Source organism: Homo sapiens, chromosome 2 (assembly GCF_000001405.40).
Source record: "Homo sapiens chromosome 2, GRCh38.p14 Primary Assembly".
NCBI classification, from domain to species: domain Eukaryota; kingdom Metazoa; phylum Chordata; class Mammalia; order Primates; family Hominidae; genus Homo; species Homo sapiens.
This window is the reverse complement of record NC_000002.12, coordinates 172,037,670-172,052,988: the sequence shown is the minus strand read 5'-3', so window position 1 is coordinate 172,052,988 and position 15,319 is coordinate 172,037,670. Positions and strand designations below refer to the sequence as shown.

General features: G+C 37.9%; 1 protein-coding gene across 8 annotated transcripts in view; it reads right to left on the bottom strand.

Annotated features, from left to right (window-relative positions):
• Positions 1-15,319, bottom strand: part of METAP1D (methionyl aminopeptidase type 1D, mitochondrial) — an 82,478-nt gene that overhangs the window by 29,442 nt on the left and 37,717 nt on the right. The window contains exon 2 of one of the 8 annotated variants that reach the window (XM_047443870.1): positions 570-682. The exons of the other annotated variants lie outside the window; for them this stretch is intronic. Within the exon in view, the coding sequence (XP_047299826.1) occupies positions 570-657 (88 nt within the window). The 5' untranslated portion in view covers positions 658-682. The remainder of the gene's footprint in view (positions 1-569; positions 683-15,319) is intronic. 8 annotated transcript variants of the gene reach the window in all.

Genomic DNA, 15,319 nt, shown 5'->3' with positions numbered 1-15,319 from the left:
CTATAAAGCAGAAGAGAAGCTCACATTTCATGAGAAATAACCTATGCATTTGCTGAGGGAAAAAAAACCACATGCACTACTAGGGAATGCCCCAGGCTGAAGCAGATACTGATTGGGCAAAGCTAAAGGACAAGAGCCCTTGAAACTAAACAAAAGCAAATTCATCTGTTGACAGATGTTGATTACATCAAAGCAACAAGGAACTCCCCCAATTCCCAATTTTTAAAACAATTAATACAGCTCTATAATCTACACAATAAGGACAAAGTTAAGTTTTTTAACCGATCATAATAAACATTAGTGAACTTGTTTTAAAAGAGTTTCAGTTCAGTTACAGACTATTCTAGTGTGTTTTTAGCTATGGGCTTCTCCAAACAGTGGTTTATTCATTCCCATGGACATGCCTGGGAAGCCAAGCTGGCCATACCATCAGCCCCTTCCTTCCAGGGGTTAACTGCTCTGGCTGCCAAATAAAATACAGAGCGAGCCATGTAATTATGGAGACAGTCAAAGGGCAGGCTCTATTTTGAAATCTATTTGCACAGACAAGGTCTTCCAATTGAACTTACAGGAAACAAGCTGGTAAAGAGCCTCCTTTTCCCCAGATGCTTTCCACACTTTTTCTCCAATGCAGGAAATCGTGGATATGGACACCATACACCACTGCTTCCTGGATTTCAAGCTAAGATGCCATTACAGAGAGAAAAGTGGATCTGTTTCACCAACCTTTAAAAAACATTTTTTTGGCCTAATTAACAGCATTTGGCAACAGCCTCTGGATGATAAAGCCACAGTGTTTATTAAACAACATTTCTAAAGAGGATGCAGGCCCAGTTGGTATGCAGGTGTTGGAAAACAGCTCATTTTCTTTAATGCTGAAAATAAAGCACATAGTTGAATCTAAAATATGTGGGCATAATACTTGTCTGAAATAAATATTCTACTTCACATCCAACCGTGTTGTCCTTGAAGTTATTTTTACTTAAGACCACTAAAACAGTAACAAAGATCCCACAGAAATAAAAAGGAAATGTGTGCAATATTTTAAATGACAAAAAAGTCATAACTCACTTTTATGCTGAAACATAAAAGTTTATCCTAGTTGTTTACTGCTCTAAGTTTGCAATTTTTATGAGGATGCATCATTCTCATATTAAGGTAGGACTGGGTCACTACTACTAATAAAATTCACCTCAAATGAAGTTGAGATGGATACTGGTCTGTAGATGTCAGAATTCATCTACAGCCTGGGAGTCTTGGTTCTAGAAAAGATGAACTGGAAAGTCAGTCACAGAGCGCTTCTGGGGAGAGGAAGGGCAGCAGCCTGAGGGTACCCTCTTCCAATAATAACAACATTTAAGAGTGGTGCCCAGGTCACTGCAAAACGTGACCTTCCCCAAGGCCTAATCAGGAAGTTGGCGCTATACTATATACCTCCTCCTTTAAATAAAATTATCAATAGCAACTGATAGAGTATAACATCAATGACAAGTTCAGAAATGTTTTACGAAAACACTTCATTTTGCTTCTTTACAAAAGCTAAATCTGTTAATATGTGATTATTCACTAATGTACACCACCAGCACACAGGCATCTGTATTTAAAACAAGAAGCATTCCCCTCTTTTTGGGAAACTAAAACACCTCAACCTACTCTAGAAACACAGATCTATAAACATTCCTACTTAATAATATAGGCTCCTGCTTGTGAGTCTAGGAAAAAAAATTCCTTTAGGCTAGCCGAATTATAGCTGGGGGAAGGGTGCCAAAGATTATAGTCAGAACTCAAGTATAAAACTAAAAGCTGATCATTTGGTGGATAAGTAGAAGTTACATAGAAATGTTTAATTTGTACAATAGGGCTATTGCATGGAATTTCTCCATTTGAGACAAAAAAAGTTTACTTCAAAATTTAAATTCATCTTTATAAAGTATTGAGTCACAATGAAATGGTATATACTTGGCAAATCCCATTGTCTCTCAGCTAAAGTTTAGAGAAAAGCAGCTTTTTAGCACTTCAACAATACATATACTCAGGCAACTTCTTGGACAAAGAAATATTGTATCCTTACAGAGGAAATAAAGAAGCTGTTTATTAGGGCCGTGGTTAAAATGTAATAATTCATTCTAGTTGAGCCCTGTGAAAAATGTCATCAAAATATCATTTTCTTTGTCAGATTTTCTGGATGCCTTAATATCATTTAAACACAGAATAAAAGACAAGCTCTCATCAGAGTAGAAGCACAACACTAAAATGAACCAAAACCAAATGCTCTGTCAAAGTTATAGGAAAGAATTTCACACAGTCCTGCTACCCAGGGAATGCACACTTCTAGGTTAGCACAGAACATCTGGCAAATTTCAACCTTCCAAAGTCTCTCAAAAGAAACATTCCTGTTACCTCACACACTTTGGTTAAAGAAGAGGAAAATAGAATGATTTTATATTAAAGCACACAAATCAGAACCAGAAAGAGCAATTTCATAGGAATCACACATGGAACTGAATTTTAGAGAAAGTCTATATAAAAACATCATGAGTTTTTTAAAAAAAAACTGATATAGTAACAAAATCCTTCTTTAATTCTTAAAAAAACCTCCAGACTATTCATAAATACTACTGTCATATACTACTTAAAATATTAGTTATTTTGTATTAAAATGCCCAATAACAGAAGATATGAGGGCTTATAATCTATGATCAAAAGCACAGCTTTAATATATTTTTAAATTACATTAAAGCATTTGAAAAGAGCATGATTTTAGTCTTCATATTACAATAGTGTCAACTGAATTCTAGATACAGCATGCCCTAGGTATATTGCTGGATGTCTTTCTTTCCTTTTTTCTTTTCAATGGGCCATTGAAAGTTATTGCCACACAAGCAAACCATTGGGATGAAATAGCTCAGAGCTTTGACCAAAATTGTAGTATCAATATCAAAAACAAATAAGACAAAAAACAAAAAACCCTACATCTTAAACTTCCTGAGAAGATTTTCACTGTACATCTCTAAGTGAAAGGCATGGGATAGAAAGAAAACATTTGAATATCAATCTTATCGTGGTATTTTGACAACTGTAGGAGTTTTGTCTCTGCCCTGTAACCAGTCAATAGGAGTGGTAAATCGGTAGGTAGATAGGTCAATAATTACTACCTAAAATGAGAAAGCTAATGCTTCAGGAAAACAATATATTTCCAAGCTTCTGCAGTTGAGAGTACACAGATTCAAGACAACAGAAGCCAAGATCACTCATCAAGGAGTTATTTTCAACCAGAAAAATAAAGAGAAAGTATACAGTAACCTCTTTAGTAAAAGCAAAAGCTCCAAATTTTCTGAAGGCAGCTTTTTGGACTGGTATAGTTATGTTGCCCAAATAATTTTACACTCAATTCTACTAGGTATACCTGGTTGACCATATGAATACTCACTCGACAGTTTTTGGTATTAATTCAAAAAGTACAAAGTGTTAAAATGGCACAGGCTTAAAAGGGGAGCTCCATAGATGCCTGCTTACAATTTGGCCCATATATATGTGTATGTGTGTGTATATGTATATAAGTAAACATAAATATAAATATGTATATAAGTAAATATATGTATATAAGTAAACATAAATATAAATAAACATTTATTTAAATATATATACTTATATATTTAAGGATATGAATGTTCAACTATCTGTTACTTTTTGTACTAAAGATTAAAAATTAAGCCAGGCTGACGCCTATAAACCCAGCACTTTGGGAGACTAAGGCCTGTGAATCGCTTGAGTCCAGGAATTTGAGACCAGCCTGGGAAACATGGTGAAACCTTGTTTCTACAAAAAATACAAACATTAGCCAGGCATGGTGGCACACAACTGTAGTCCCAGCTACTTGGGAGGTTGGGGTGGGAAGACCGTTTGAGCCCAGGAGGCAGAGGTTGCAGTGAGCCAAGATTGCGCTGCTGCACTTCAGCCTAGGCAACAGAGCGAAACCCTGCCTTAAAAAAGTTAAAATAAAATAAAAATTTAAAAACGTTAAAAATTAAAACCACCCCAACCACCAAAAAAACATGTACTCTTTATCTGTATATAGCAGGCTGCTTGCTTCTCATATCTGAAAACACATTACTTGAAAACCTTAGCCAACACCAAGATTATTCACACAGTAAAATGACAAATTCATCATCTCATATTTAAAGTTTTTAATATTGCCACAATACCAAAATATTTGATGTGTAAAACATTTGAAACATATTTATTGTCTGAGGGGATGGGACACTTTTTGAAGTATGCTTCTACTGGAGTGTTACAAAGAAACCTCAACTCTTCAATGCCTAATAAGGTATAGTCAATTTGGGGGTAAAAAAGAAGGAAACAGTGTGAAATTTAAAATTTTATATTTTGCTTGTGAATGCACCATGAGAATTTCCTCCAAAAGATATGCCTTCCTATTTATATTCACTTGAGCTCTTGTTTAAATTGGTTTTCCTTCTCTGAGTACTATTGGTTTACTTAAACAAGTTAGTTAAATTCTTTAAGCCTTAGTTTCTTCATTTGTTAATGTGGATAATAATACCTTCCTCACAGGGTTGCTATGATAATTGTATGACATGATATATCGAAAGTGGCATAAGGTAAGCACTCAATAAATGGTAATTACTATCATTGGTTACCTGACTGTGGGAGGAGGTCACTCTAAAATGGACTAATCAGTAGGTAGAAACCAGCCTGAATTTTAAAATGTGCCTTGGATAATCCACAAAGCAAGTAATTCACAAAGTAATCATGAGATCCTAGGTTGGGTCCCAGAGCTGCTACTTAAAAGTGACACCATCCAAAGCACTGGGCCTCTCCTCACTCCATCACAGGGCCAACCTGAACCCCAAATGAGACTGCAGATGTAGAAACACTTTACAAACTGGACAGCATTTCATGATTGTAGTGTATGAGAGAAGGCTCACACTCAGTAGGATGAATTACGGACAGCCTAATTTTGATGTTTTCCTGAGAGTTCCTGCTGGGCCCTTGCTAGTATGCTGATGGTTAATGGTGAGGTCTAAGGAAAATTCCTTCCTACATCCATAAAAGGCCCTGGCTTTTTTCAAGAATCATATCTTTCTAAACATATAAGAATACTTCTTAAATTTGTGCAAAGGGTGGGATGGGAGAAATTATGTTATAGGAAGATTCTACTTTGCATTGAAGACATTCCCTGTAAAGTGTACTATCACAAACAATTTTAAGAGTTAGATCAGAATGCTGCTATTTTGGCTGAGCGCAGTGGCTCACGCCTATAATCTGAGCACTTTGGGAGGCCGAGGTGTGCGGATCCTTTGAGCTCAGGAGTTCAAGGCCAGCCTGGGGCAACATGGTGAAACCGCATCTCTATGAAAAATACAAAAATTAGCCAGGCGTGGTGGCATGCTCCTGTAGTCCCAGCTACTCAGAAGACTGAGGTGGGAGGATGACTTGAGCCCAGGAGGCTGAGGCTGTAGTGAGTGGAGATTGCACCACTGCATTCCAGCCTGGGCAACAAAGTGAGACCCTGTCTCAAAAAAAAAAAAGAATTCAGCCTTTTTTATTCTGTTACTAAATACCATTCAGTCAATGCTGTGCTTAGCCATAAACTTTAACGTTGCCCTTGGTAACCTCAGTTTGTAAGAATTTAAACCTATTTGTCTTGGTGCACAATCTGTTTAGCAGAAATATTTCAGAGCTCAACAAACCTTATTGTTTAAATGTATCAAGAAGTCTTCTTTGCATAAAAATTCCTGTTTATTAAACAGTGATACAGGAAGAACTTATTTACATTTCAAGCACTACCAACATACATCACTTATGACAAAAAAGGCAAGCACTCCATAAGAAATGCTCAATCACTGTCAATCACAAACACTAAAATATACATAAACCAAAGCACGCCGTGTGAACTGTATTAAATTCAGCTAAACACAGAATTACCAACAGAACAAACAAAAAAACAAATAATTACCAGTGACTCACAGACCTATTTACACAATACACAAAATAACTTGGAAAGGTGTAACCATGGAAACCTGATAGCCTAAATTCAGTACCTTTAAATTTTGCATTTATTTAATCACTGTGCAAATGATGTCCTTACAAAATTTAAATATTTTTAAAGCTGTCAAAGCTTATCTTTGTTATTAGATCATTGATTGAAATAGTTTCAGCTATAAATTAGTTATCTTTAAAATTATGCGGAGACCGTTTAATGAAACTATGATAAAAATGTCAAACAAATTTTTCTAATTTTGTCAGAAAACTATTATTTCACAACCACTGATTAACTGAAAAACTCAACTATTTACAGTAAGTCCCATAATAGTCAAGTAATATTAACAGACACTTTCACATAAAGACTTTTCTTAAATTAATACTGTTGCATGCAACCACCTCCACTTCCTCTAATTAACTACTAAAGCAGAAATGCTACTAGTTGTTTTGGTTTAAAAGTTGTTTTTACTGACAATTACCATTTGAAGAGTTTAATATTTAATGCTATAGTTAGTCCTAATATCTTATATTTTATTTCATAATCTAAATGACTAAAACATTATTTTGTAGTTCACTGCCTCCCACACTTAAGCTGTAATGTTCAGTGTGTATTTCATTATGTAGATGAGCAATGGATGTTGTCTGACATGATTTAAATGGGTCAACAGTATTTTCCTAGTCACATTAATCATCCAGACAGCTAAAATGAAAAAAAAAGTCCTTGAAAACTAAAACTAGAGAATCTATTCACACAAATGACACTTTCCATCAGTGGATTATCTAGGATGTGGTTAAGGAGAAGGAAGAGTTACAGACTTTGAACATATGTTTCATCATTTATTCAGAAACCACTTCAAGACCCTAGCTCTATTTTCAGAATCGAAGTAAACACTCACAGAAAGAGATTTCTGAGATACCAAAGTGTAATTAAAAAAAATAAAAAGCATTACATGGCAATCTTTGAAACTTTTTTGATTCCAGAAAAAAAAAATAAAATTTGGGAAGCCCAGCTCTAAATGAGGCTGAGCCCCAAGAGTAGGGTCAGGCTTATCGTATGTATAAAAATACACAGCAGCATAGGTGCACCAAAATCTCACAAATCACCACTAAAGAATTCCGTCATATATATATATATATATATATATATATATATATATATATATATACACACACACACACACACACACATATATACATATACATACACATATATACATATATACACACATATATACATATATACACATATATATACACACACACACACACACACACACACACACACATATATATGAATGATCCTTTTTTTTTTTTTTTTTTTCCTGAGACGGAGTTTCACTCTTGTTGCCCAGGCTGGAGTGCAATGGCACAATCTCGGCTCACCGCAACCTCCACCTCCCAGGCTCAAGTGATTCTCCTGCCTCAGCCTACCGAGTAGCTGGGATTAGAGGCGTGCGCCACCACGCCCGGCTAATTTTATATTTTTTAGTAGAGACGGGGTTTCTCCATGTTGGTCAGGCTGGTCTTGAACTCCCAACCTCAAGTGATCTGCCCGCCTCGGCCTCTCAAAGTGCTGGGATTACAGGGGTGAGCCACCGCGCCCGGCTTATATAGGATCCTTTTTAGTGGTTTTGGAGCATTCCCTTATACGAAGGGATCACATAGTACCTTATTTAAACAATGATGAGCATTTTGGTAGGTCCTTTTTGTTTTGGTTTGATTTTTTTGCTTTATATAATGTGTTTTTTACAAGTACAGTTGCACAAGTGATGACTTCTTTTTAGTTTAAATGTGTAAAAGTAGTATTTGTGGGTTAAGAAATATGCAAACTTTAACATATTTGCAAAACTGTTCACAAACACTGCAACTTGTCTTCCTAATGATGCCTATTTCCTATACCTTTACCAACAGTTTAATGTTAAAATCTGTTAGTCTGATAAATGAAAAACTGTATCTCACTTTTACTTATTTTTCTTCAGATACTCCTGAGGTTAAAGATATTTTCCTTTGTTTATTTCTGTATCCTCTTTTGTGAAGTCTCCTATTAGGTCTCTTGGGTTGTTTTTCACCTGATTTATTTATTTATTTATTTTTTTTGAGATAAAGTCTCGTTCTGTCACCCAGGCTGGAGTGCAGTGGCATGACCTCCATCATCCAGGTTCAAGAATTCTCCTGCCTCAGCTTCCCAAGTAACTGGGATTACAGGCATGTGCCACCACGACCAGCTAATTTTGTATTTTAAGTAGAAATGGGGTTTCGCCATGTTGACCAGGCTGGTCTCGAACTCCTGACTTCAAGTGATCCACCCTCCTCGGCTTCCCAAATTGCTGGGATTATAGGCGTGAGCCACCACGCCCAGCCTCTTCACCTGACTTATTTTATTTTTATTTTTTAGACAGAGTCTCGCTCTATCACCAAGCTGGAGTGCAGTGGCACGATCTCGGCTCACTGCCACCTCTGCCTCCCAGGTTCAAGCGATTCTCCTGCCTCAGCCTCCTAAGTAGCTGGGATTACAGGTGCATGCCACCACGCCCAGCTAGGTTTTTTGTTTGTTTTGGGTTTTTTTTTTTTTTTTTTTTTTGTATTTTTAAGAGAGACAGGGTTTCACCATGTTTGCCAGGATGGTCTTGATCTCATGACCTCGTGATCCACCTGCCTCGGCCTCCCAAAGTGCTGAGATTACAGGTGTGAGCCACCGTGCCCAGCCCACCTGACTTATTTTTAAGAGTATTCTGTGAATTACAAATATTAAATGTGTGTACTACACTGTTTCAACTATCTTTTCAGCTTGCTTTTTGTATTTCCACCATATTTAAAGTGTTTTTGGCCACAAAATTGGGTTTACATTGAATTTATGGATTAATCTAAGGACAATATGACTATAATTTTTTGGGGGGACAGGGTCTTGCTCTGTCACCCAGACGAAGTGCAGTGGTGCAATCATAGCCCACTGCAGTTTTAACTTCCTGGGCTCAAGCAATCCTCCTGCCTCAGCCTCCCAAGTAGCTGGGACTACAGGCACATGCCACCATGCCCAATATTTTTTTTTATTTTGCAGAGACAGGGTCTCACTATGTTGCCCAGGCTAGTCTCAAACTCCTGGATTCAAGTGATCCTCCTGCCTTGGTCTCCCACAGTGCTGGAATTACAGGCGTGAGCCACCATGTCCAGTTGACTCTAAAATATTTAACGTCTTCTTTAAGATAAGAAATGCCTTCACATTTCCTACAGTGTTCTTAAATGTCCATCACTGGAGATCTAATGTTTTCTCCATACAGGCCTTGTACATTTCTTGTTATTTGTCTATCCTTGGTTTTTTTTAACTCCTTGGTTGCTACAATAAATGAAATTTTTATAATGGAATATAATGCTATTAAATATAAATAAAATAATTTTTGTAAAACATTAAACGTACTTTTCTTTAAAAAACTTAAGTTTTAAAAATTGAAGTATAATAGTCTAATGTCATATTTTTATGTTCTTTCATGTATCAAAAATCAAACATACATGCAGACTCACACACTTTCTCCATTGGAGGTTAGTGAGTCGTGACCAAGTGGGGTTGACTTTGCTTTCCATCACTGCCAACTCACCCCTCTCTTACCTTTCCTCTCCCCAAATATTATCCTCCTTCCTTCCAAATATGGAGTGCCTGACTGGATAAACTAACAGGTGTTGGAAGTGCAAACCAAGTGAAGTTCCAATAAAAGAATACTATTTTTTTTGTAAGGATCTGATATTTAAAATATTTCTCATAGCTGGGTGCCTATAATCCCAGCTACTTGGGAGGCTGAGATGGGAAGATTGCTTGAGCTCAGGAGTTTGAGACCAGCCTGGGGAACAAAGTGAGATCCTGTATCCCAAAAAATATATATATATATATATATATGTATGTAAATATATGTACACACACACGTATATATATACACATATATGTGTACACGTGTACACATATACACATATATGTGTACACATACACATATATGTGTACACACGCACACATATGTATGCACATGTACGCATATATATACACAGGTACGCATACGTGTATACACATGTACGCATATATGTATACATATGTACACATACACATATATGTACATATTTACACACATACACATATATGTACATATATACACACACACGTATATGTGTACATATACACACACACGTATATGTGTACATATACACACACACACGTATATGTGTACATATACACACACACGTATATGTGTACATATACACACACACACGTATATGTGTACACATATACACACACACACGTATATGTGTACACATATACACATACACACGTATATGTGTACACATATACACATACACACATATGTATATGTGTACACATACACACATATATGTATATATGTGCACATGTACACATACACACATATATGTATATATGTGCACATGTACACATACACACATATATGTATATATGTACACATGTACACATACATATGTATATATGTATATATGTACACATGTACACACACATATGTATATATGTATATATGTACGCATGTACACATACATATGTATATATGTACACATGTACACATACATATGTATATATGTATATATGTATATATGTACACATGTACACATACATATGTATATATGTATATATGTACACATGTACACATACATATGTATATATGTATATATGTACACATGTACACATACATATGTATATATGTATATATGTATATGTGTACACATGTACACATACATATGTATATGTGTACACATGTACACATACATATGTATATGTGTACACATGTACACATACATATGTATATGTGTACACATGTACACATACATATGTATATATACATATATTTTTTAAAATGAAAAAATATATATTTCTGGCCAGGCACAGTGGCTTATGCCTGTAATCCCAGCACTTTGGAAGGCCGAGGCAGGTAGATCACTTGTGGGCAGGAGTTCAAGACAAGCCTGGCTAACATGGTGAAACCCCATCTCTACTAAAAATACAAAAATTAGCTGGGCATAGTGGTGGGCACCTGTAATCCCAGCTACTGGGGAGGCTGAGGCAGGAGAATTGCTTGAATGTGGGAGGCGGAGGTTGCAGTGAGTTGACATGGCATCACTGCACTCCAGCCTGGGAAACAGAGTAAGACTCCATCTTAAAAAAAAAAAAAACTATATATATATTAGGTCATTTCTTTTGGGGGATGAAATATATATATATATATATATATATATATATATATATATATAAAATAATTAGAGTAAGGAAATTAAAACGTTTTTATATTCTTATTCTGTATTTACTTATTTAAAGCTTAGTTTTGTTTGGTTTTGAATTATGTATCTGGCTTGAGTTGGGGGCAACCAGTCTTCAGTGTTAGGGGTCCTGTCTCTAACAAAACAATATAGATCTACATGATCTTTTTTAGTTGTTTCATGAATTCCTTTACGGACAGGTCACACAACACCTTATTTAACCAATGATGAGCATTTAAGTGGATTCTTTTTTTTTTTTTTTGATACAGAGTCTTGCGCTGTCACCCAGGCTGGAGTGCAGTGGCACGATATCGGCTCACTGAAACCTCCGCCTCCTGGATTCAAGCGATTCTTATGCCTCAGCCTCCCACGTAGCTGGGACTATAGGTGCACACCACCACGCCCAGCTAATTTTTGTATTTTTAGTAGAGACAGGGATTCACCATATTGGCCAGGCTGGTCTTGAACTCCTGACCTCATGGTCCACCCACCTCGTCCTCCCCAAGTGCTGCGATTACAGGAATGAGCCACCGCATCCAGCCTTAAGTGGGTTTTTTGTTTGTTTGTTTTTGCTTTATATAATATGCTTTTGGGGGGCCTCAGACTCCTTCAGTTCTTGTATACTGTGGCTATCAGGTACAAGAGGGCCTGAATGGGCCAGGTGTGGTGGCTCACGCCTGTAATCCCAGCACTTTGGGAGGCCGAGGCGGGCGGATCACAAGGTCAAGAGATTGAGACCATCCTGGCCATCATGGTGAAACTAAAAATACACAAGTTAGCCGGGCGTCTCTACTAAAAATACACAAGTTAGCCGGGCGTGGTGGTGTGCGCCTGTAATCCCAGCTACTCAGGAGGCTGAGGCAGGAAAATTGCTTGAACCCGGGAGGCAGAGGCTGCAGTGAGCCGAGGTTGTGCCACTGCACTCTAACCTGGGAGAGAGAGCGAGACTCCATCTCAAAAAAAAAAAAAAAAAAGAGGGCCTGAATGTATCAAAGCAAATAGCACAATCGATTACGATATTTCCCCTAGTCTTGTAACAGTAAAAGAGATCAAAAACTTTGAACAAAAATAAACTTAAAACAAATCTGCCACTCCGCTGAACAAGGACTCTGTATATCTCTAGTTCCTAAAACGCTGTGTATTTAGTTTGATCTCCCCCTGGGAGTAGCAGTATGTCTTAAAATTTTCGAAGAGAGTGTGGGGAATCCTCTCACTATTGCTCCCTTGGGGCAAATGCTCTCCTGATGTAGTTTCCTCCACATGTTTCAGAATACTACTTCCGACTCCACCTACTAGTCTGGAAGAAAATCACTATGCCATATAGTTGACAGAAAAAAACGGACTTTTTAATATTTTTAAATATAGGTAAAAGTAGAGAAAGGGGTAAAATGAAATCCTTAAAGTTAAGCTATAATCCTGGTTTAACTGAAATCCTTAAAACTTTTCTCACTAATAAAAAGTTTTCGGCCGGGCGCAGTGGCTCACGCCTGTAATCCCAGCACTTTGGGAGGCTGAGGTGGGTGGATCACGAGGTCAGGAGTTCGAGACCAGCCTGGCCAACATGGTGAAACCCCGTCTCTACTGAAAATACAAAAATTAGCCGGGCGTGATGGCGAGCGCCTGTAATCCCAGCTACTCAGGAGGCTGAGGCAGAAGAATCGCTTGAACCCGGCAGGCAGTTGCACTCCAGCCTGGGCGACAGGGCGAGACTCTGTCTCAAAACAAAATAAAACAAAAAAAAGTTTTGGCTGGGTGCAGTGGCTCACGCCTGTAATCCCAGCACTCTGAGAGGCCAAGGTGGGCAGATCACGAGGTCAGGAGTTCGAGACCAGCCTGGCCAACATGGCGAAATCCCGCCTCTACTAAAAATATAAAAATTAGCTGGGACTAATTACTGGTGGTGGGTGCCTGTAATCCCAGCTACTCAGGAGGCTGAGGCAGGAGAATTGCTTTAGAACCCGGGAGGCGGAGGTTGCAGTGAGCTGAGATGGAGCCCCTGCACTCCAGCCTGGGCGATAGAGCGAGAGTTCATCTCAAAAAAAAACAAAAAAAAGTTTTAAAGGTATTTGCTCCATCACCCCCACCCCACAAAAAACTCACCATCAACAATAATACCAAAACTCATCTTTCCTGACGACTTCTAAGAAGTGAAGTGTAGGAAATGAAAGGGTTATTTTAATTCTGGGACTGTTCTTTTGTGAAAATACAAAGAAAGCCGTTATGAACAGCCCCAGGGACTAGTGCTTCTTGATGTTGGAAACTGTACAATTGTACACACATTTTTAATTTGGAGTTCACAGCCACAGTGTTTCCTGGGAGTAACCCTGAGGCCTGGAGTTGTAGCTGCTCATTACCCTATACAAGTCAAACTCCTGAAGTGCACTAGAGCACAAGAGTATGGGTCTGGACACTTAATTATTTCTGAGCACAGTATGACATAAGGTGCTAGCTGGGATCTAAAAGTTTTTGAGACTTGGCCATTGTGATGATGTACAGAGAGGCAGGAGGTCTTCTCAGGAGTTAAACATGAAGAGGGTTGGAGAAACAATGCAGAGCAAAGAAAGTCCCATTCCCACTTTTGTGTTATGAAACCTTAGGTGGCAAGTAGATTTTTGCAGAATGGTATGGGAACCCTCCTTAGGTAGGCATCTCAGGGATAATATATAAAATAGGAAGGCTATAAATCCTGTAAAGGAGGTAGTAGTGGACTAAAATGGACAGAATTTATACTTATAACTAATGTTTCATCACTACCAAATCCACCCTGCTCCCAACTCCATTGGCGTGACTAGATGATGCTGACTTTAATGAGTAATCTGAAACACTGGCAATATTTGGCTTTGGTGATGGCTAACTTCAGACCTCATAAATATTATGTAACCCTAGTCTTTTTGCCTCTGGCCAACCAGACTGACTGCATAAATGGCAAACTGACATTGAGAATTTATGAGCTCTGCTGCATTAGTAATGCACATTTCCTTTTGAATTATTCTAGCCTGTAGCCTGAAGCAGATTATAATTATCATTCCTTTTGCCGCACAAGTCTGAAGATCTACAAGTGGTTCAGGTAGCTACATGAATATATTTCAATGTTTTAGGAGGGTGGGTAAATAAAAACCCATATGTAACAAATGAAAAACAGATGCATTTATATAATGCTACAATTTAAAAAATATCCTAGCTAATTAAAATTTGGTCTCGGTCACAGTAAATCCATAGAAAATGTTTCTCTATCTTACTGAGATGTTTTTCTCTTTACCGTCAAAAAATTGGTGATGGTATTGTTCAGTTTACTTGGAGCAGAGTGTTCAGGTAGTCAATGATCTAAGCTATGGATAGTTAGCTCTACACTAAGATAAATACGTGGTCTTAGCTGTTTGGAATGCATTTTCCGACATAAACAATGTGGCTAAGTTCTCAGCTAGCCCAGTAGCTCATAAGACAAATAAAATGCTACACAATTGCAATGAAAACAAAAAACTAGGAAACAATACAGCTGTAAGCATATATTTTGGCCACATTATAGGTTTTTTGAGCTGGCCTGGGAATGTTGCTGCCATTTACAACATGGTTTCTAAAGGATAACATATTCCACATTTTTGGACAATTAAGGAAATTGAAACGTCCACTTTACTGCTTCCTACCACATATTCTCGGCCATTTCCACTCAAACCCTAAGTGGCAGAAGATGAAGGCTGAGTACCCCCAGGAAAATCTAGAGAGGAGAAGAGAGGGCCAAGTCCTGTCCCTTCCTGTAATAGCTGTACCAGCCCCAGAGCCAGGATTCTCATGCTGCTTCAGCTTCTTTCAACTTCTACAACAAGTGAAAGGAAGTAAGTCTCTGTCTTGAAGTTCAAGCAACCCTGCTTTCCTAACTGTTAGCACCAGAAACAACATGTCAAGCTCAAATACAGCCACCCGGAGACAAAACATGGTGGCTCTGGAGGACTAATGTCACTAACCAGAACTCACCAACGGGGTAGGAGGTCTAGATATTAAGTGTTCAGAACCCAGATGGAACCAGTGAAGCTCAACTGTTGAGCTTCAGCTC